Source organism: Homo sapiens, chromosome 7 (assembly GCF_000001405.40).
Source record: "Homo sapiens chromosome 7, GRCh38.p14 Primary Assembly".
NCBI classification, from domain to species: domain Eukaryota; kingdom Metazoa; phylum Chordata; class Mammalia; order Primates; family Hominidae; genus Homo; species Homo sapiens.
The window spans coordinates 17,917,004-17,941,133 of record NC_000007.14 but is presented as its reverse complement, the minus strand read 5'-3'; the positions used below and the strand labels follow the sequence as shown (position 1 = coordinate 17,941,133).

Here is a 24,130-nt window from a genome sequence, read left to right as displayed (position 1 = left end):
GGCAGGTGCTGGCCAATTACATCAGCAAGTCCTAACTCCGCTAGGATCGGGGTAAAGCCGATAAGCCGCATCATATCTACAACCTGTCTCGGACCCCTGTAAAGAACTCACTGAGGATTGGTAGGGACAAAGGGAAGTTTCTGTCAAAGTTTAGGAGAAAAGGGCCGCGCAGGGAGCTGTTTCAAATAACACTTAAATCCCAGGAGAAGAAAGCCGAACCCCAACTCTTCGGTCGCCGCGGGGCCAGGGAGACGCGAGAGGGAAGTTTTTCTAAAGGAAATCTGCCGCCTTGTCCCCAAGACCAGCGAGGTCCGCAGCGCCATCAGTCAAGTGTCGGCCTCTGGCATTTTCTCCTCTCCCCAGGGCGGGCCAACGCTAGTGGGCGGTGGATGATGCGCCGGCCCCAAGGGCGCGCACGTCCATTCCCGGAAGGCTCGGGCGCTGGGGCCCCTCTGCACTCCCAGCGGTCCCAAGTTGGCCCAGGCGCCCGGTCCCGGGGTCCTACAAGTCAGCGCCAAGCCGACTGCCGACAGCCTACCTCCGCTTCTCCGCGCGCCGGCGCTATGGAGACGGTCACGAGACGCCAGCAGCCCCTGCGCCCGCCAATGGGAACGCACGTTGCAGCGAGACGCGGACGTCGCTCTTCCAAGATGGCGGCGCGTCCGTCGCGAGCGACCGGGCCGAGGGGAGGCCAGCGAAGCCGAGTAAAACCGCCGCCCGGGAGAAGACTGAAGGAGCAGTTGCCGCCGTTGGCGGCGGCCCGAGCAGTTTTCGCTGCTGCTACGGCTGTTGCCATGAGGCGAGGCTAGGGAGGACCTCACTTCCCCGGGGTGTAATAATGTTAACTGAGGTAAGCGGCGACGGTGGCCAGTGTTTACCTGTGAAATGGGGAAGGGGCCGGCGCCAGCCCGTCAGAGAACATCATCTGTACGGAAGGTGGGCCTGACCCTTCGCCGTGGGCTCCAGGGCCCGAGGAGCAGCGGGGATCCTACAAGTGCCCTCAGAGTAGGAGCTGTGCTGACTCAACAGAGTCCCACCACCTCCGGCTGCCAGTGCCTCGCCTTTCGCAGTTGCCACTTGCCACTCGCCCCTGGCACTGGTCTCCCTCCTGCTGTCACTCCCTTCTAACTCATCGCTCCCTTCTTCGTGTCCCCTTACACGCTACTCTGTGGCAGCGTTGGCCTTTCCACGTTACTGCTGGTTCTTGTGATCCTATGGTTTGCCCTAGGTCTCCTTTCTCTGGTCCCTGGGCTCCAGGGCCCTCCGCCTCCGAGCTCGGTCAGCACCCTGGGGTTGTTGCTCGGCCCGACCGGTTTGTTTCCCACCCTCTACTTTGACTGCTTCATGAAGTGGACTTTTTTATCTCAAGCTGCACATGTATGGCTCAGTTGGGTCATCCCCCTCCCCCACATCCATCACCTTTTCGGTTAAATCGTGGTCATCACAAAGTTCAGTTTAGCATCTGCCACCTTGATTTGCGTGTGGCCCCCTTGTTACTCCCTATGGAATAGTTTTTTTCTTTGGACCTGAAATGGAAGTAGGGCAACTATGACGAACCAATCAATTTCCCTTTTCTAGTGCCTAATGGGCATTGCAAAAAGCCGACTTTTTGAAGAAGTAGAGTTTGCCTTTACTAGCAACACTTTAAGGGGAAGAACTAAATCGGTGCAACTAGGTACTTGACCCAGGTTAGCCCAGTTATGTGTTGTAGTATCTGCAGGTGTAGGTGTCACTGAACATAAAATACTGAACCTTGTGATTTGATGAAATACCTTTTTCGAAGCCTTTCACTTTAAGTACTGTGAGGATCCTGACGTGAGGAACTGACCGGATTGGGCATTTTTATGGGCTGAACTGAATAGGAAACAGTTTTAGTGGGCAATGGGAAGTATTCCTACATGGGCCAAAAAGGAAATACAAACATTTGTAGGTGAGTGGCTTTTATTTTGTGAAAAGTGATGGTAAAGCACGTACTTGCCTGAAATTTCAGGTCCTTGGAACGTGACTAACTTTGAGGAACTTTATACTTTGCTGTTTGTACTTAATCTAAGCACAGAGCCTGGCATATGATAAATACTTACTGGTTGATTGTAACTTCTACAGTACGTATTTTTAGTTGTTTGAAGTTCATTTTATATTTCTAAATTCTACAGATTTTTCATTCTTGGAGTTAATTGAGATTATGGTTATAGCATAAGTTTGTGTTGTGATTAGCAGTAATAGATTAGAAAAAAGAGTTATAAGTAGCAGAAGTTTCATTTTTACCTTAAGTGTGATATTTTAGTGGGAACAGTTAGCCTTATAATAAGTGTTTAGTGTTGTCTCTAATGTGTAATATTATATGATATGATCTTTTCCTTAAACTTAGCTTATGTTAACATGTTTCAGAGTTTTAATACTTTCAAATGAACTACTTGTGTGTCTGCCAGTAAAATGATTTGGAAAGATGGAGCTTTCTCAGCTTCTGTATTTTAATGCAATTTTGCGTTTTAGGGAAATATTTTAAACAGTAAATCAATGATAATATTAAGTAAACTGTACTTTAGTACTTTTTGTGTGAACACTGCACAACTTATAAGTGGCAGAAGCAGGATTCCAACCTTGGCAGTTGCCACCTAGCCCATTCTGTTAACTTTTCTAGATTGCCTCGCCAAAGTAAGACCCAGATTAAATTGTACTAAAGTCTTCCCTATAGTTTTCAGTAGTCGTTTATAGATTAGGAAACTGAAGCCAGAGACTCTTGTCCAAGGTCAATTATTAAATATTAGTGACAGTCGAAACTGGAATCTCATCTCCTAACTCTCAGTAGAGAGCTCTGACCGTTTTGCTCAGCTGCCTCTCAAGTAGTTTTCAGCTCTCTTGATAGATTTTAAAACATGCTATTGTACTTCCTTGTCTGAATATTGTCAGTAAACTGAAAATGATTATTACTTAAAAAAGACTTTCTGCTTTACCTTAGCTTTTTTTCCTTTTCATTTTTTAAACAAGGCTTCTAAGCCTCGTAAACTAGTCCTATTTTGAGATATTTTAGATATAAAATTTCACTCAATATTGGCTACTACAAAATTAGTGTGAGACTTCCTTTTTATTGCTTCTGCTAGACATTGCTGACTTAGATCAGCAGCTTTTAGGAGATGTGATTTAATTCATGTTAGGTCTCAAAATGTGTAGTGATGAGCTGTGCTATGAAAGATTCTCCTGTCTTTATATTAGTCATGCTCAGCAAGCATTTACTGTGCTCAGAAAGTGGTGAATTGTAGTATGTGCCTGGATTCTTTACATCTCAACACTGAGGTAGGTGATATCCCCATTAACCAATGATAAAACAGGTTGAGAAAGTTGAAAGAGCTTACTTAGAGTTGTATAAAGAATGGAGGAGACAGAAATCATATTTAGGTCCTCTTATTCCACATTGTGTGCTTTTTATGACTCAGTGTGGAATGCATCATTAATTTTCTTTGTAGCTGATAAAATCAGCATACTATTTTTATTTTTTTTTAACCAAGGTGAGGATACTAAGTACATAGATACATAATGAGAATAGTAATGATAAGTGTTCATATGAAACTTTTCAGTTTTGCGTTTTGTGAAAATATATCTTTTTTTTTTTTTTTTTTTTTGAGACGGAGTCTTGCCCTGTTGCCCAGGCTGGAGTGCAGTGGCGCGATCTTGGCTCACTGCAACCTCCGCCTTCCAGGTTCAAACTATTCTCGTGCTTCAGCCTCCCAAGCAGCTGGGATTACAGGCGTGAGCCACTGCACCGGGCCAAAAATATATCTCTAATTGAAACCTTTTCAGAAATGAGAAGCCACACAAGTGATCAATTAAGGACCATTTTATATTAAGCTAAAATGGAATATCACTCAGTTGAGCAAACTAATATGTACATTGAACTTTGAGCCTATGAAATATAGATTAATGTAAATTGAAAGTATAGCTCCCATATAGTTCTCGATGTAAACTTTTTGGCTTCAATTTATATTATTTTATCTTAAATACAATGGAATTATTTAGAAAACTTGCTAGTCATATTTATGTATGTATTTTTTTTTTTTTTGCATTTTACATACAGGGATGAGCTGTATGTAACGTCTAGCTAGTTTTTTTTTTTTTATTTTATTTTATTTTTTTTAATGTTAGTTTTTTTCCCCTTCTGTTGTCCTTGCTCCTGTTAGGACTTCCTGCTTCTAATGTGACTCCTGCTATACTTGGCAAAAAATTTGTCATAGTGTACATGAAAGTTACTTGTTTAATATTCACTCCTCACTCTCCCTCTATCCCTTCTTTTTTTTTCTTTTTTTTTTTCTTTTCCCCTAACAGTAAACTTCATATATCGAAATTAGAGCATGGGATGTTTGTTTACCTGAGAATTTGTTTTAATTAATCCGAGTTTTCACAACATTAGAAGATAATGAAATATTTATCAGTGAATTTTTATCAAACACACTTTTAAACTTTTCTTGATACCAGGAGCAATTAGGATTATAATTCTGAGCATTTATTATTACAGAAAACTAAAGGTAAGAAATGTGGGAAAATGTGCTGAATACATTCCAGTGTTGTGGCATACTTTGGAGGTTGTTTTTGCATGGAAACCAGTTATCAACGTGTTGTCACTTGTCCTGTGTTTTAAAAAATAATAAACAGTGTAGCTATTTAAAGCTATTAGTTGTTTGAGTTGTCTGTAAATATGAATCATTAAGTGACTATTAAATAAAAATAGTTTCTATTTGTGTTGTTACTTCCATCCAGATTTGTTGCTTTTTCAATATTAACACTGATTCTCAGAGTTAACAGATCTGATATAAATGGGAAAAGGCAAAAAATGCAGCACTTTGAGAAGTTCCAGGTTAATAGTTGTTAAGTAAAAGGTTTTGTAGTTGAAATAAATTTGGAGGATATTTGCCTAAAGAAAGTTAATAGGTTTCTTCTCTGGATGACTTAACATAGTTAGTTTTTGATAGGTGATTTATTTTCAAAGAAGATGATAGAATTTACAGCATATTGCAGAGTCATTTAACCATGGAGGTGAATACACTTTCTTGTATTTCACTTAGGGAAATCCTGGAGTGATGAGTTACGTATCAAGAAAGGCTCCCTGAACATCCAGGGGTCCTTTTGAACACACACATGCACATACATCATACATCCACGCTCACACACAGTTGTCTTGCCCATAAGTGCTTAGTAAAATATTATGACTTGGTTTTGTTGATTAATATATTTGTAATAGAAATACTCTTGGGGCACATTAATCTTTAAGCTATATAAGCTATTTCTTCAATTATTAATGACACTGCAAGAGCTACTAACCAAAGCAAGAAGACCATAGGTCCACTGGCATTCAGAGGTGTCAAGAGGTAGGAAAGGGATTTTATAACGGGAGTGGAAGGACATCAGTATCTAAAATGAGTTTGGCTTGCCACTCTACACACAGCCTTACTTGGCATCTTTTGACAAACCAAGAGGAATATTGATAAACATTCTTAAAGAATTTTTTCTTTTTAAATATTATTTTAATTGACAGTCATTTTTATGCATTTATGGGGTACAGGGTGATATTTTGAAATGTGTGTACAATGTGGAATGATTAAGTGCAGCTGAATAACATATCACCTTGATTATTTTCTATGGTGAGACAATTGAAATTTAGTTATTTAAAAAATAAAATACATGATTGTTGACAGTTGTTTAATTGATCTAAAAATTTCTTCCTTCTATCTATCTGAAACTTTGTACTCTGAGCAGTATATCCCCATTGCTCCCTCTTCTCCAGGCTCTGGTATCTGTCATTCTGCTGTCTACTTCTGTGAGTTTGACTTCTTAAATTTCACATATAAGTGAGATCGTGTGGTATTTGTCTTCCCATGCTTGGCTTTTTTCAGTTAGCATGATGTTCTCCATGTTCGTTCATGTTGTAGCAAGTGACAGAATTTCCTTCTCTTTTAAGCCCAATTAGTATTCCATTGTATCTACCACCTTTTCTTCATCTGTTTATCCATTGATGGACACTTAGGTTGATTCTTTGTCTTGGATTTTGTGACTAATGCTGCTGTGAACCTGGGAGTGCAGATATCCTTTCAACATATTGAGTTCCGTTTTTTGGAAATATACCCAGGAGTGAGATTGTATGGTAGTTTTATTTTTAGGTTTTTGAGGAACTTACATACCATTTTTCATAATGTTTGTATTAATTTGCATTTCTACCTACAGTGTACAAGAATTCCCTTTTCTTCACATTCATGGCATCACTTACTCTCATTTTTTTGATTATAGCCATTCTAACAGGTGTGAGGTGATATCTCATTGTGGTTTTAATTTGCATTTTCCTAATGGTTAGTGATGCTGAGCAGTTTTTCATGTATTTGTTGGCCAGATTTATGTCTTCCTTTGAGACATGTCTATTCAAGCCCTTTGCCCATTTTAAAAATGGTTATTTTCTTGAAATTGTGTTGAGTTCCTTTTATATTTAGTCTGTTAACCACTTATCACATGTATGGTTTACACTTTCTCCCAAGTTGTGGAGTGGAAAAGTGTATCCCAGCTCTGGTAGATATACCTCTTTCTGTTTTTGTTATCTCTGGGCCCCCAGCAGATTGGGTGGTGCCTGCCCACATGGAAGGCAGACCTCCAGGTAGTCTACTCAGACTCACATGCTAATCTCAGTCTCCTCTGGAAACATCCTCACAGACACATCCAAAGGAATGCTTTACCAGGTTTTTAGGTATTCCTTAATATAGTCAAGTTGACATCTAAAATTATCCACCACAATGACTTTACAGCTTTCCCTGAATGAGGTTCTCAGATTATGGCTTTTTAAACTGTGCTTTGAAATTTTGTGGTTTCATAGACCATGAAGTGCCTCCTCAATTGATTGTAATCTGGAATTGACTTTCTATTTCAGAGTCAGGTTTAATTTTGGTGTCACAAAGCCTTAAATATGTGTAAGGAGAGGAAACGTTGAAGCAAGCAGATAGCTCTTAAACTGTTTAACGTTTTAAAAGTATTTGGAATTAAATGAATAAATAGGCTGGAGTGATAGTGATAAATACTGTGTCTATCAACAAATTATACATATGGCAACACACAAACCTGTATGTTAAGCACTATAAGGGATGAGTCTCAACTTTATCACTTATTTATGATGGGATTTTGGGGAACTAGTTTGAACTTTCTAAGCTTTTAATTTCCTTCTGTGTAAAATTGGGGTAATAGCACCTTTCTTGCTGTTCTTACATTGTTATGAAGATCATATAAGATGATGGAGGGTATAACTTTGTAAATTGCCAGTCATTATAGAAATAGTGGTAGTACATCGGGTTTTTTTTTTTTTCTGTATATTCCTTGTACTAATGAATGTAAATCCTAGGCTCCATGTAGTTTTATTGCTCACTATTTTCTTGGTGGATAGGTGGGTGGGTCCTGAGGGGAAATTAGGAGGGGAGTCTCCTGGCTAGTGGTGCAGTTACAGGGGAGACAGGGAATAGACTAAAAGAAGTGAAAGAGAAAAAAGGGGATAGTTTCTTGTGTGGTTGGTAAACCGATTTCAATGAATGCCTTAAAGCAAGTTCTCTCTTTTTTTTTTTTTTCTGAGACAGAGTCTCGCTCTGTTGCCCAGGCTGGAGTGCAGTGGCGCGATCTCAGCTCACTGCAAGCTCTGTCTCACGGGTTCAAGCGATTCTTTTGCCTCAGCCTCCTGACTAGCTGGGACTACAGGCGCGTGCCAGCACGCCTGGCTAATTTTTTGTGTTTTTAGTAGAGACGGGGTTTCACCAGGTTAGCCACGATGGTCTCCATCTCCTGACGTCATGTTCCGCCCGCCTCGGCCTCCCAAAGTGCTGGGATTACAGGCATGAGCCACTGGGCCCGGCCGCCTTAAAGCAAAGTTCTAAAAAATGTTTTGAAAAAGATGATTTATTTGAGGGTTACCAGTCATTTGTCTGTACATATTCCCAAACATTTGTGGGAAGAAAAATCTTTTATTTTTAATCAGACTTGGTAAATCCTTGAAAAGCTGTTATTAAGGATAATGTTTATAAGGCTTTTGTTATAACTCGTGCTGGAGATTGATTTTTATGGATTGATTTCTTCACCAAACAAGAGTATGCCTACTTTGTACTAGGCACATGCTGATAAGTTCTAGTGTTGAAGTGGTGAGTCAGTTGGGAAACCTGTCCTCAGAAATCACTATCAGCGCTAAATTTAGCATTGTACCACTTAGGCCATCAAAGTGGGAGCCTTGAGGTCTTTTGTCAGAATAAAATGATACCACTAAAGGGTGAAAAGTTAAGAGGGGAAAAGATTGGAGAATATAATTAAAAGATAACTGTGACTTGGGTTAGCTTTACAACTCCTGGTAAATCTACTAGTTTGGATGAGACAGCAGCTCTGAAATGGATTTCTTGCAATTGAAGAGTCAACCTGGTGAAAGTAGTACTTGATCCTGCTGTTCCCACCTCCATGTGTTATGTATATATTTATTTGCTTGTTACATGTTTTTCCCTAATAGAGTAAACTCCTGAGGATGGGCCTCATAGGTGTACTCCCAGAGCCTAGAATAGAGCTTGATACTTAGTAGGCCTCACTAAATATCTGTTGAATGAATGAATGTTGAATATTTCCTCAAGAAAAATTAAGATTAAAGTGAAAAATTACGGAGATGAAATTGTCAGTGATAAATTTAAACCATCATATTAATTACCCTTAAAGGATTGGTTACTATCTGTTCATTAGACATTTTATATAGTAAGTACATTGTGGTTAAATATTGTGTTTAAGAGCAATGGGACAAAAAAAAGTTGAACCTGAGGCTTTTAGTTAGGAATGAAATTCTGTCTTAATTTTTCCTACAGGGAAAAATCTGATTAGGTTGTTACTTTGATATAACCAATTATAAATGCAAGAGGGACTTGGATTTTGTTTTGTATCTCTTACTACTTGATATTATGATTTCATTAATATTACTTAAAGTTTAATTCCTAAACTAGATACATTTAAAGAAAGCTTTGTCTGTAATAGTACAATAATGCTGATTTTCATGGCACTTTGTTGACTGTTTCAATTTGTATGACCTTTGATGCTATCTTGAAAGTTTGTAAGTATCAGTAAAAATTTGGCCGTGGTTTCAAAGTTGGAAATTTTGGGGGTCCATTTTTAAGGAGGGCAGCTGCTACCACAGTCTCTTAACTAAAATGCGTCTCTGTTCAATGTTGGAGACAGAGTACTGTTATGTCGTTTGCCCATCTGTAATTCCACTGTATATTCAGAAATAATATATACCAGAAAAGTTCAATAAGATGATTCTGCTCTGTTCCACTGTTCAAGTAGAATAATGGTCTGTAAATATACTTATGAGAGGATCATGTATATTAACTGGAATAATTCACCATTGTTTACTTATTGCACTGTTTTCTCTGATTTCCTAAGGGATCTTTTTATTCTGATGCATCTGTGAAGACCCTAAGGTGAATCCAGCTTTGCTCTTGACCTTAGCTGTGCATTGTTGGAGAATCCTTGGTTCTTATTCCATTTAAACCTGAATTGGTATTATACCTGAAATTTGGGGGCTATTTTTAGCCTGACTGGCTTAGCATAGGAAAGAGTTGTGATTCTTTGTTTTGTGATTTCTTTTATTTTCGAGCTAGAGTTGTGGAGAATGGCCTTTGGATTCATTGTCCTGTGAAGTTTGGAAATTATAAAACTGAAGTTGTACAATTTTAGTGGAAGAGTTAAATGTGAAATAAAATTTCACCGTATTTCTGTTATTACATAAATATTAGGAAATAATGTTCTGACTTTAAGATGTGATATTGTGTTATCCAGTGTTTCTCCAAGCTGTAATATTGTATTTTGCAATTTGTTCTCTTCCAGAGTTTGAGATAGCTTGTTTTCTCAGAATTTTTCTCAGCTGAGAAACACAACTGGTGTTTAATTCAGACTGCAACTATTAATATAATCAGCTATTTTACATGTGGTATTAATTACTAACATCTGATCTTTTTCTTGTATGGTACCCAACTGCTCAACACTTAAAGTATTGCAATAGTGTTAATCCTGGTGGGAGTCAGGAGAGTAAAATAAATGGGCTACAATGACAGTCTCCAGCCTTTTTGGCACCAAGGGACCGGTTTTGTGGAAGACAGTTTTTCCACGGACGGCTGTTGGGGGGAATGGTTTCGGGATGAAACTGTTCCACCTTAGATCATCAGGCATGAGAGTCTCATAAGGAATATGCAACCTAGATCCTTGCATGTGCACTTCACAATAGGGGTAGTGCTCCTATGAGAATCTAATGTCCCAGCTGATCTGACAGGAGGCTGAGCTCAGGTGGAAAAGCCCACTCCCCGCCACTAACCCCTGCTGCTCACCTCCTTCTGTGCGGCCTGATTCCTAATGGGCCATGGACCTGTAATGCTCTGTGGCCCAGGGGTTGAAGGGCAGAACACCACAAAGTTACAGGAAAAGAAACTGAAATAATATACTTTCCAAATAGTGAGTATTGGTTGCATAAAGGTTTAGAAAAACCAAGTAGACTTGAGAGTATTTTATGATGCATTAAAAATGTATTTTATGAATCTGAAATTCCAGAAATTAATAACAGCAGCTCAGAATATTCAATCATATAATAGGCACTAACACAAAATTTATGTGATGATGAAAGATTATCTTTATACTAGGATTCAGTGTTAATCATCTTTTTTATATATGTATATATATCTCCTCTAGTCCCAAACCAAATATTCCTAATTTCTGAATAAAAATGTATACTTTTGGTTAAGAGTGATGGCTGGTGTCAGATTATTTGGATTTGAATCTAAGTTTTCTCGATTCCGAGCATTTTGACCTTGGAAAGGTTGCTAACGTTTCAGAGCCTCAGTTTTCTTATATGTGTGACTTATAAATGAATGGTACTGACCTCATAGGGTTGTTGCAAGTATTAAGTGAAGTAACACATGTACTGTGCAGTGTTTCCTACAGTAACAATAAATCTTTATTCTTATTTCTTTATTCTTATTCTTTATTCTTTATTCTTATTCTTATTCTTTATTCTTTTTCTTATTCTTTATTCTTATTTCCTCTGATGTAAATAGCAAGTGGTTTATTTTCAAAACTTAGAATTTAATATGTTTGAAGTTGTTTTAGTGTTCTTTGATTGAGGTAGTTTTAAAATGTCAAGAGTAATCCTGTATGACCCAGATGATCTAATTCTTTCCTTACTTGCTATCTCAGTTTTTACTAACTTCTCAATTTACGTATTGCATTTCCAAAGTGAATACTAAGAGTGAGATTTAGACTGAATTTCGGGAGGAAATACAAAGGGATGACACCTGTGTAATATGAATTGATCATAACCACAATTTTTGGCTAACCAGTATGTTTCTTTTGGACACTAAAACTTTTACTGTAGATGAAATGAAAAGGAAAGATTGTAGTACACTTGCATATTATGCTTTTGAAATGCTATTATTGTAGTTTTCTGACATGAGAAGTACTATGGTTCTTGTCAGTTTGATAAAGTTTTATGTAAAGTGGCTCTCATTTATATAAGCTCTTCTGTTGAATTGTCTTAGAGCATAAAGGTGAGGAGTGTTAAAAATCTTTTTTTTTAAAAATATGTAGTTGACTTGAGTGGTGTTAATAGTATTGTGCAGTAGGTAAAGAGACTTAGGGCTAAGGTATTACAAATAAAATTTGTGCTGATATAAATTTAAATTGTAGATATTAAGCATATACATAATTTCAGTCCCTTTATATGCAGCAGTTGCTTATCTTTTCACATAATAATAGAATAAACTATTATACTCAAGGAGTGGGGTCTTCTGCCTGTTACAGTAACATTTTACTTAGTTGGAGATTATGCCATTAAGGTCCTTTATGGGTGAATCTATATCTCTCTCTATTCCTTTATATAGTTACACTCTATGCTTTCCATCTTTTCTTTCTTGTCACTGATGCTTTGTGTATTTGTTGATTTGTTTTTTCTCCTTTCTGTATTCATTATTCTTCTCTGTGTCTACAGGCCTGCAAGTTTCTCTCTCAGGGTATATTCCCTAGCCTTTAATCTTTCTACCCCTTCTCAAATAGATTAAAAAAGCCAAAATAGAAAATTTAACTTCTATTTTTTGTTATACTTTATAGGTTTGAAAAATGCTTTTTATTGTTAATTTAAAAGGGTAACAAATAGAATGGTTTATATACTTTTTTCATGAGCAGTAGAGCCCAGTATAATTTTCTCATATACCCCTTATCTGAATTTATCTTGATTGAAAAGACATCATCTTGGACTTAAATGAACACTATTAATCTTACTTTTTATTGTGAGTTAAAAGAATCTTGTAGTATTTTCAGGGTCAGAGTCATTGTTCTGATATTGAGTTGTTGCTAACTTTAGAACATACCCTGAAAGTTATCTTAACACCTACAAAATCTACATCAGATTCCTAAAAAGCATCAAGGATTTTAAGATGTTAGTGGCGGGTTAGTTTGTTCTGTTTTTTTCTCATAATTGAATTTTTTGAATCTAAGTTAATCAGTTGTGTTTGATTATTTAGATATTATGTGCAGAATTTTGCCCATCCTCCCTTTTAAAAAACCTTGAGAGTCAGTGTAAAGTAATGGTTCAAGAACATGCTTGGGTTTTAAGCCAAAGCTCAGTTCATGCTCCAGTTTTATCACTTAGCTGTTATTTCTTAAATCTGTAGAATAGTTAGTATAACTTATGTCATAGAATTGTGAGAACTAGATATAGTTAAAGTGGTTAGCAAATCCTAGCCAACTGTAAGCACTTAATATATATATTTTTTTAGAGATGGGGTCTTGCTATATTGCCCAGGCTGGAATCAAACTCCTGGGCCCAAGCAACCTTCCTGCCTCAGTCTGAGTAGCTGGGGCTACATCCACGTGCTGCTGTGCCTGGCCAAGTAAGCACTTAATAAATGATAGCTCCTATTGTTGTTTTAGAGGGTGCTCCTTTTCATAAGAAAGAAATGAAGTGTTAATACCATGCATTGAGGATCTAGCTTTCTCTGCTGTGGTAGGATTGTGTTGCTTTGATTTCCCCTTGGAGTCTGTATTATGGAGAAAAGCAGAAGTCAAAACTTGTAAATATTAGGACTTTTATTGTATTGTAGTCCTGTATGAATGAGAGATGGATGGGGGGACATTTGTGAATATGGCCTGTTTTATCTTGCTTTTGTACCAGGGAACTGCTGTGATAAAAGTTTTGTGTACTTTATTTAGTAGAGGAACACTTTGTGAGTGGAAATCTTCTGATATATAAACTAAATTTGTTCTAACTCAGTTAAAGGAATTGAAGGTGAATTTCCATGTAACTGAGCTTATTTTTAGTATGAGGTAATGATAGAAATGGTCTTGATGCTTGAGGATTTTAAGTACTATCATGTGGCCCAAACAGAGTGCTTAGGAGGTAGACAGAAGGTTAGAAATGCCAAGTGTAGTGTTGTATTATGTCAAAATAATAAATTTTATTTTGGTTTAGTGTCATAAGGACAGGCAATCTAAAGAGAACAGAGTATTTATGGAATAGGAAAATTATTGAGAAACCTGGACAGTCAAGAATATTTTAATTTCTGGCTGAGTGCTGTGGCTCATGCCTGTAATCCCAGTACTTCAGGAGGCTGAGGTGAAAGGATTGCTTGAGCCCATGAGTTCTAGACCAGCCTGGGCAGTGTAGGGAGACCTTGTCTCTGCAAAAAATTAAAAAATTAGCCAGGCATGGTGGTGTGTGCCTGTAGTCCTAGCTACTCAGGAGGCTGAGGCGGGAGGATTGCTGGAGTCCAGGTGTTGGAGGCTGCAGTGAGCTATGATCGCATCACTGCACTCTAGCCTGGGCAACAGAGTGAGACACTGTTTCTAATATATATATATACATATATATATATACACACATGCACACATATATATTATATATACACATATATATTATATGTACACGCATAATATATAAACATATATGTAATGTATATATATGTCAAAAATGTCAAGAGCATAGTTTATATTTTTTAATCTTGTTTAGCTTATTAAAACAAAAAATTTGACATAAGTTTTTATCTTTGCTTATTACATAGGTGAAAAATTACATTCTTGCTTTAAAATTTTGGATTTCTTTGATTGCTGGTAAGGTAGATAATCTTTTCATATGCTTATTAGCCATTTATATTTCCTGTTTTGAATTGCTGTTCATACCCTGTTTTTCTTTGGAGTAGTAGTCTATTCCTTTTTCTTTTATGAGACAGGGTCTCACTTTGTCGTCCAGGCTAGAGTGCAGTAGCACGAACACGGCTCACTGCAGCCTTGACCTCCTAGGCTCAAGTGATCCTCCTGCCTCAGCCCCCCAAGTAGCTGGGACTACAGGCACGTGCCACCATGCCCAGCTGATTTTTGTATTTTTGTAGAAATGGGGTTTCACCATGTTGCTTAGGCTGATCTCAAACTCCCGAGCTCAAAGTAATCCATCCACCTCAGCCTCCCAAAGTGATGGATTTACAGGTGTGAGCCACTGTGCCTGGTCTGGAGTAGTAGTCTGTTTCTTAATGATTTATAAACATCTGTTTACTCATGGATTATAATATTTTGTTGCATATGGTGCATGTATTTTTACAAGTATATGTATACTTTCTGATTTTGTTTTGTTATTAGGAAAAAATTAATTTTATGTTTTCAAATATGTTGATCTTTTTCTATAGATTTTGCCTTTCTAAAAATGACCTTTCCCAGCCCTAGATAGTACAACAATTTACCTTTTTTTAAGCCAGAATTTCCAAGCAGTTTTCTACATATTGTTAGTATATTTGTGATGTGTTTTGTAGGGGAAAAATATTCCTAATTTAAATTAATTTTTTATATAGCACACTTTCAAACATACAGAAACCCTGAAAAAAAATACTGTCACTAGCACCCGTTATACAGTTACCTAGATTTGTTAAAACTGTCATATTTGCTTTCTCTCTACTTTCTTCGTATTTATCTTCTGTTACCTTAGCTCTATGGATGTGCCCCAACTTTCTCTGTTATTTTTGTTGTTATTATAGCTCAACTATTTTAAGGTAAATTGCTGATATTATGTCACTTTTTAAAATGCTCTCCTGAATCTCCCAGGCTAAAGAATTTAAAAAATACCTATAACCACAACATTATTGTTACACCTAGTAAAATTATCGGCAATTCCCAATTATAATCTAATACTTGGTATGTGCAAATTTTCCCAGTTAGAACCAGGTTCTAATTCAGTAATGTGATTGTTATGTTTCTTTAATATAGAATACCTTTATTCCTCCTCCACTTTCTCCTCTTTTTCTCCTTTTCTTTTCCTCTTTCTCCTCCTCTTTTTTCCCCTTCTTCGTCCTCTTCATTGTTGTGAGAGATTGTCCTGTGCATTGTAGGATGCTTAGCAACATCCCTGGCCTGGTCTATGATAGTGCCTTCCCTAACAAGGTGTGATAATCCATACTTTCTCCATACATTGCCAAGTGTCTCATGGGGAGCAAAATTGCCCTTGGCTGAGAACCACTGCACTAGAGATAGTACCTTATTTTTTAAATTACTTATTTTTTAGAATTGCTTTTATTTTGTTTTATCTTGAATCTGTTTTGTTCCCTTGATCTGTATGTCTGTCCTTTAGCCTATTCTGCTTATGTATTTTACTTCTCTGGGTTGTTTAGTTGTAATTTGAAAAGTAGCTTTATTGAGATATAATTCATATACCATGCAATTCACCTAACTAAAGCATTCAATTCAACGGCTTTTGCTATATTCACAGAGTTGGGCATCTGTCATCAAAATAAGTTGAAGTACCTCATTACTCCAAACTGAAGACCCCTCCTCCTTTTACTCCACACTTCTTTCTCCTTCACACAGCAGGCTATCACTAATCTGTCTTTATGGTTTTGCCTATTTTTTTTGAGACGGAGTCTCACTTTTTCACTCAGGCTGTAGTGCAGTGGCATGATATCGGCTCACTGAAACCTCTGCCTCCCAGGTTCAAGTGATTCTCCTGCCTCAGCCTCCTGAGTAGAGTAGCAGGAATTCCAGGCACGTGCCACCATGCCCAGCTAATTTTTGTATTTTTAGTAGAAATGGGGTTTCAACCATGTTGGCCAGGCTGGTCTTGAACTGCTGAACTCAAGTGATCTGCCCGCCTTGGCCTCCTAAAGTGCTGGGATTACAGGGGTGAGCCACTGTGCCAGGCCGGTTTTGCCTGTTTTGAACATGTTATATGAGTGGCGTTGTACAATATGTGGGCCTTTGTGACTGGCTTATTTCACTTAGCTTGTTTTCAAGATTCATCCATGTTGTATCATGTAATGGGACTTCAAATTTATTTTTATTGCCAAGTAACATTCCATTGTATGGATATACTACATTTTGCTTATCCTTTCATCAGTTGCTGGACATATGGGTTATTTCTGCTTTTTGGTCATTACAAATAATGCTGCTGTGAACATTTGTATTGTGTTTCCACAGTGTTTTTTGTGGAAATATGTTTTCATTTCTTTTGAGTCTATACCTAGGAATGGAATTGCTGGGTTATACAGTAATTCTTTAACCTTTTGAGAAACTGCAAACTATTTTTCAAAGTGGCTGCACTATTTTACATTTCTACCAGGAGTGTAGGAAGGTTTTGTTTTCTCCATATCCTCCAGAACACTTGATTACAGTCATCCTGGTGAGCGCAAGTAGCATCTCTTAGTGGTTTTTGTTTGCATCTCTCTAGTGCCTCTAGAGAGCACCTTTTCATGTGTATATCTTCATATTTCATTTGTATATCTTCTTTGGAGAAATGTCTATTCAAGTCTTGTGCCCATTTTTAAATTGGGTTATTCATGTTTCTTACTCAGTTTTAATAATTCTTTGTATATTTCGAGTAGAAGTCTATTAATCAGATACATGATTTGCAAATATTTTCTCCCATTTATGGGACAGCTTTTCATTTTCTTGATGGTGTCATTTAAGCACAGGATTTTCTAATTTTGATGTAGTCTGATTTATGTTTACCTTGTTGCTTTTGGTGTCAAAAGATAATTATTTAAATTCTGTAATGCATTAAAAAGTTAGCTTCATTAGTGGTGTCAAATAGCATATATACAAGATAAATAGATAAAAGAAGAGCTGAAGTTAAACCATTATAGTTTTCCCCAAATTGAGTTTTGAATAAATGTATTTTTGATGAATTCTATCATATCTAGATGGTGTATATATTTATAGAATATTTTATTGAGGATTTGAGGGCAGTGGGGGCTTGGGTTTACTTTGTAGCAGTGTCGAATAATTAACAACAACCAGTGTACTTTGTAGTGGAAACTAAGACCCCAGTAACTTTAAATTCTGCAGTGTCCTCTTCCACTGCCCTATTGTGAGTATTCTTCCTGATTAGCCACAACTCCGAGAAGAAGAGGACTCCCAAAAGTAGAAACTAGTATTTGTTTCTCTGTTCTCCCTGCATATGTGATCTGTTTTCTTCTCCTTGCTTCATGATCTCCTGGATTATTGGGGTGCTTTCTGTTATTTTTTCTCTCAGCACATTCTCTCTGGGTTTTGGCTTTGGAGATCCCTACTGGGCTGACCCGTTCTTTTAGCAACACTCCAGGTCTAAGAATTATAGCTCAAATCATGGTATTCTTGAGGATCGTCTGTTTTTGGTCCAGCTGCCTCTTAACAGAGTCACTTGGCAGCAGTCTGTTTGCCCTCATTGCTACCACCTTCCTAATGTTACACCTTTTCTCATTGAGGGGTTTTAAAAGTTTTATTTGCCATTTAAATAGTTAAACCTTGACAGTATATAAATACATATTCATTTTCTTTTTAAAACTTTCTATATACAAGTCTGTTTTAAAGATCCTGTGTATAGTAAGTTATTTTTCCTGATTATTACCACAATTTGGACCAACTTTCTTGTTTTGCTTTCTCAAACAGGATATTTCATGTTTTTTCACGTGGTGGAGTACAAGTTTTGGGACAGCCTTATGACTTTTGCATGGTAGAAATAAATGTTAGGAGTAATGCCTTCACTTAAATATTTTAAATGAGTGTTAACTGAATGTAAATGAGTTAACCATGTGGTGTGTTCTTTGTAGAAAAGTGGTATGTGCTATCTAAAAATAAAATATTATTTGCAATGCATTTTTTTGTTTATAATACTACCTGCTACTTGAAAAGTAAACCAGTGTGAAAGTGTATTAAGTAAAGTTAAAATATTGTTTACCGTTTTCATTTTAAAAACAGTCTGCATGTCTACTTTCATACCTTTTTCTGAGTAAGCACATATGATTTTTCATTACATTTTAAAAAATTACTCTTAAAGGTAGTGTTGTGAATTATGTTTTTCTGCCTTGATAATTTTCTCTTTATCTTTTTTTCCCAGTAGTTTTTGTTTATTGCTACACTTCGTACTCTAAATCTTCTCCCTTTCTTTCTGCTCTGAAGATAGTAGTTGCCCAGTGAATTGACTGGATACAGAAACCAGGGTCAAGCTGAACATAAATGTTATGATGCCAATTAATGATCAGAAAGGAAAATAAACTTGTGAAGATGTTCACTGAAGAAAAAAATCTCGATTTAGAAAACATTGGTTTAGATGATTAATCAGAAGTTCTACTCTATTTTTGTTTTACTTAGTTAACACATACTTACTGGGAGCCTACTTTGTGTGGCAGATGTTGTTATACTTGGCATGAGACAACACTGAACAAAACATACACAGTTTATGCCCTCAGGAGACTTACAGTATGTGGTATATACATGAGGGCAGTGGGGGCTTGGGTTTACATGTAGCAGTGCTGAATAATTAACAACTGCTGTGCTTTGTAGTGGAAACTAAGACCCCACTAGCTTTAAATTCTGCAGTGTCCTCTTCCACTGCCCTGTTGTGAGTATTCTCCCTGGCTAGCCGCAACTAGAACAGGACTCCTCCAAAAGTGGAAATGAGTATTTGTAACCCTGTGCTCACTGCCTGTGTGACCTGTTTACTCCATTAGTAGGCAGGCAGTTCCAACATAATGTGATAAATGAGGATATTTGCTAGAGAATGGTTGGAATGGTGAACCATGGAGTCCAATCTAGATAGGAAAGTGAGTACAGAAGTGGGTTATGTAAATGAGGGTGTGTGGTCTTGTAGTGTCTAAAGTGAAGTTGTAGTGAATGTTGGTGGAGGTGAAATGCTTATGATATTAAAAGTAGCATATTTGATGGATTATCCACATGTATGTTAAAATAACTGAAGGTTATTCAGCATTCCTGATAGAGAAGAATGTTTATGGATTAGTAGTGCATACATCGGTGGTTCTCAAAAGTAACTGCATATTGCAATCATCTGGGGAACTTCACAAACTAACAATGCTCTTATATCAGCTTTCCTGAACATTGGAAATTCTGATGCATGGCTCACATACCTAGCTATTTTGATTTAATTTGTATGTGGCGTAAGCTGGGTAGTGGGATTTTAAAATCCCCCTACTTCCCCAGGTAATGCTAATGGGCAGGAATTATACAGGAACAACAGGGGCTTTTACAGGAAATGGGCTGGGAGTTATGGTTTTGATCGTGACCCTACATTCTGAAGTTGGGTACATGATTAATGAAAGAATAAGCAGCCTTTGTTTGAGAGAGCTGCAGGAGAAGCAGCTTTTACTTGAAGCAAAAATAGTGAAGTTGTCGGGGATATGGAAGTGTTTGTTTTGACTTTGGAACAGAGTGATCCTAGAGGGAAAGTTTAGGAGGGATGGAATCACTGGGAAATTGTATAAGGGAGGAAAAAGCAAGAACAGTACAGTGGTCAGAGTGTAGGAGAGAATCGATAACTGAATGTATTTATCTCTCTATGATGAACAAGGATAACAAGGCTTAGTGGGTTCATTATTAGTCTAGAGAACACATCCAGCAGTCCTGTAGTGCCCAATAATTGGGAATTGGGTAAACAGTTCTTAGGAGTCAGTCCAGACCTTGATAGACTGAATTTCATAGGAAGTCCTATCCTTGTATCCTCTGGTAAGGGGTTTGGATTGATTGTGCAAGATCTAAGGAGAGCCCTAGAGTTTGGGGCTGTTGTCCCACAGGCTCCTGATAGTGGTTGGAGTCTTTTCTAACACTGGCGGGGGAGGCTGTGAAGTCTTAAGGTTTGGTCAGATTTGTTCTTCTCACTCCAGTGCGCTGCTTGGCTGAGTACACGCTGCTGCACCAAATGATGGCAAAGCCTTTACTATTTCTTTACTTTTATACTTCATACTTTTCAGGAACACTTTAAATTGTCCAGTTCTAGATTTGTGAGCAACTATTTATAGGTTTCACTTTTTCAACATACAAGAAATGATATAGACTTAGAGTGAAAAAGGGCCTTATATATTATCTAGGCAAACTCTTCTTATTTATGCATTAGAATTTTTATGCATAGAGAATCAAAGTGAAATTCACAAAGAACCCTCTTACTTAGATTAAAGTATAAACGGTATATGGGGCTGGAAATTTATAATTGCTGCACTGATTCAAAGTTTTTGTAAGAATAAATGGGTTAACTGCAACTCATTTTATTAATTTGACACGTAACTTGATTTCTGTATTTTTTCACTGTTAAACTTTGAAATATAAGAGCATCAGACATCACCGCCCACAGAGTGCTTCAAATTTATTTTTCTTTTACAATTAAAGAAAGCTTTTAAAAGTACAGTGTATGTGTAGGCTTTAAGAGCTACTCTAGTTATGCAAGAGAACTATGAAATTGCTTTTGAATGAAGAGTTCATTCAAACCTTCTCAAAAATATTCAAATATATTTTTGGTCAGAATAAGGTAAGTAGTAAAATGGTAAATTTGGTAACAGTTTGTTTTAGAAATAAGAAAATTGCTAAGTGAAAACAAGACTTTCACATAATTATAGTATATCATGTTAACTAGTAATTAAAACCCATGTGCTTTTACTAAGCGAAATAGATATCATGATTAAAGCTTTTATACTTTTAAACATTAGTCTATTTTGCGTATAGCGATCTTATTTCACCTGTGTTTGAATTGTGAAACGCAAGGTAACTTTTTGAGGCTATGACACCAGATAGATGAAGCCTGTTTTAAGTCATGGGGATTTAGGCCACATCAAAAGGATACTTTTTTTTCTTTTTAAAATTTTATTCTTTACTCATTCATTAATTTAATTAATTTATTTAGAGATGGGGGTCTTACACTGTTGCCTAGGCTGGTTTTGAACTCCTGGCCTCAAATGATCCTACTGCCTTGGCCTCCCAAAGTCCTGGGATTACAGGTGTGAGCTACCCTGTCCAGCCCAAAAGTAAACTTTTAGTAGCTGAGTGACATACATTTTTATAATGTATCTTTTGTATTCATGTTTTAGATGTTTTAGATGTGCAAGATAAAAACTGAAGAGCAATTACGTTAAATGATGCTTGTTTCGCTTTCCTCCTCCTGAGTTGCTTTCATTGACTTATCTGATGTTTAGGTGGATATGAATAGTATCAATTTTTCTAAAACTCGGGTATTTGTTATAGAACTCTGCACATTAGATCAATTGTCTGTCATCTAGGGGTACATTTCTAAGTTGTGTTTTATAGATACAGTTTCAGACTATTTGTAGGAATGCTATTAAGATTTTTCTTTGGCTATGGTAGGTGACATCATTTGGCTGAGAATTTCTAACCAAAATTATTTCTACTGAACTGTATGGTATGAAATTCTGGTAACTCAGGACAACATTAGTTATGTTGGAATATATTCGAAGCTGCTTTCTGAGGAAAATTTTGGCTTTTATTTGACTTTGCTATAGTATGTCACCTTATAATAGGGTGGTGAGAACACTAAGTAGGTTATTTAGTATTTATGGCTTTTCTGATTTTTAGGTGTATATGGACCAACTATTTTTGTTTTTCAAATTATTTTAAGTTCAGGGGATAAATGTGCAGGTTTGTTACATGGGTATTTTGTGCATTGCTGAGGTTTGGACTTCTATTGACTCCATCAGCCAAATAGTGAACACAGCACTAAATAAGTAGTTTTTCAACCCTTGGCTCCCTCCATTCTTCCCCTCTTTTGCAGTGGCCAGTGTCTTTTGGTCCCGTCTTTGTGTCCGTGTGTACCCAATGTTTAGCTCCTACTTTTAAGTGAGAACATGGTAGTTAGTTTTCTGTTTTTGTGTTAATTTTGCTTAGGACAATGGCCTCCACCTGCATCCATGTTGCTGCAAAGGACATGATTTCATTCTCTTTTGTGGCTGCGTAGTATATGTACCACATTTTCTTTATCCAGTCCACCATTGATGGGCATCTAGGTTAATTCCATGCCTTTGCTATTGTGAATAGTACTGTGATAAACATATGAGTGCAGATTACCTTTTGGTAGAAAGATTCATTTTCTTTTGGGTAAATACCCAGTAATGGGATTGTGGGGTCCAGTGGTAATTACATTTTTAGTTCTTTAAGAAATATCTAAACTGCTTTCTACAGGGGCTGAACTAATATACTTCCAACAGTGTATTAACATTTCCTTTTTCTCCATAACCTCACAAACATCTGTTATTTTTTGACTTTTTAATAATAGTCATTTTGACTGATGTGAGATGATACCTCATTTGCTTTTCTCTAATGATTAGTCATAAGCATTTTAAAAAATATGTTGGCTGCTTGTATGTCTTTTGAGAAGTGGCTGTTCATATCCTTTGCCCATTTTTAAATTTTTTTTTTTTTCTTGTTGATTCATCTTAAGTTTCTTACGGATTCTGGATATTATTCCTTTGTCAGATTTATAGTTTGCGAATGTTTTCTCCCATTCTGTAGGTTGTCTGTTTACTCTGTTGATAGTTTCTTTTGCTGTGCAGAAGGTCTTTAGTTTAATTATGTCTCAGTTGTCAATTTTTGGTATTGTTGCATTTGCTTTTGAGGACTTATAAATTCTTTGGCTAAGCCAATGTTCAGAAGCGTATTTCCTAGGTTTTGTTCTAGGGTTTTTACAGTTTTAGGTCTTTAATTCATTTTGAGTTAGTTTTTATACATGGTGAGAGGTAGTCCAGTTTCTTTTGTATGAGGTTAACCAGTTTTCCCAGCACTGTTTATTGACTAGGAGGTCCTTTCCCCATTGTTTATTTTTGTCGATGTTGTCGAAGGTCAGTTGGTTGTAGGTGTGTGGCTTTATTTCTGGGTTCTCTATTCTGGTCTGTGTGTCTGTTTTCATACCAGTACCATGGTGTTTTGATTGTTGTAGCCTTGTATAGTTTTAAGTCAGGTAATGTGGTATAGTTTTAAGTCAGGTAATGTGATACCTATTTTCTTTTGCTTGGGATTGCTTTGGCTATTCAGGCTCTTTTGTAGTTCATATGAATTTTAGAATAGTTTCTTCTAACTCTGTGAAAAATGATGTTGACACTTTGATAGGAATTGCATTGAATCTGTAGATTGCTTTGGGCACTATGGCCGTTTTAACAGTATTGATTCTTCTATTCCATGACCATGGATTTTTTTTTTTCCTGTTTGTGTCTTCTCTGACATATTTCTGCTGTGTTTTATAGTTCTGTTTGTAGAGGTCGTTCACTTCCTTGATTAGCTGTATTCCTAGGTATTTTTTTCTTTTTATTGCTGTTGCAAATGGGATTGTGTTCTTGATTTGGTTTTTGGCTTGAATGTTATTGGTCTATAGAAATAATATTGATTTTTGTATCCTGAAACTTTACTGAAGTTGTATATCGGGTCTAGGAGTCTTTTGGCAGAATCTTTAGAGTTTTCTAGGTATAGAATCATATGGTCAGCAAAGGGAAATTATTTGACTTCTTCTTTTTCTATTTGGATGCGTTTTCTTTCTTTTCCTTGCCGGATTGCTCTAAGACTTCTGGTACTATGTTAAATAGGAGTGGCAAGAGTGGACATCCTTGTTTTGCTCCAGTTCTTAGGGGAATGCTTCCAGCTTTTGCCCATTTATGATGATGTTGGCTGTGGGTGTGTCATAGATGGCTCTTACTATTTTGAGGTATGATCCTTTGATGCCTAGTTTGTGAAGGGTTTTATCTTGAAGAGATGTTGGATTTTACTGAATGCTTTTTCTGAATATATTGAGGTGATCATATATGGTTTTTGTTTTTAATGCTGTTTATATGGTGAATCACATTTATTGATTTGCATATGTTGA

General features: G+C 37.0%; 1 protein-coding gene across 13 annotated transcripts in view, besides 1 other annotated feature; it reads left to right on the top strand.

The window, feature by feature from the left end:
* The first annotated feature begins 639 nt into the window (after positions 1-639).
* SNX13 (sorting nexin 13) overlaps positions 640-24,130 on the top strand; it is a 149,734-nt gene continuing 126,243 nt past the window's right edge. For all 13 annotated transcript variants that reach the window (NR_146932.2, NR_146933.2, NM_001350863.2 and 10 more), the window contains exon 1: positions 640-850. Coding sequence is in view for 7 of the 13 variants with exons in the window: in XM_017011893.3 (XP_016867382.1) it covers positions 839-850 (12 nt within the window). In the remaining 6 variants the exon portion in view is untranslated. The remainder of the gene's footprint in view (positions 851-24,130) is intronic.
* Positions 19,367-19,867: an enhancer, noted in NCBI's record as "H3K4me1 hESC enhancer chr7:17960890-17961390 (GRCh37/hg19 assembly coordinates)". NCBI's record gives its function as "activates a minimal SCP1, AML or CMV promoter by ChIP-STARR-seq in naive H9 embryonic stem cells {active_cell/tissue: H9 hESC(naive)}" and the evidence as "EXISTENCE:reporter gene assay evidence [ECO:0000049][PMID:30033119]".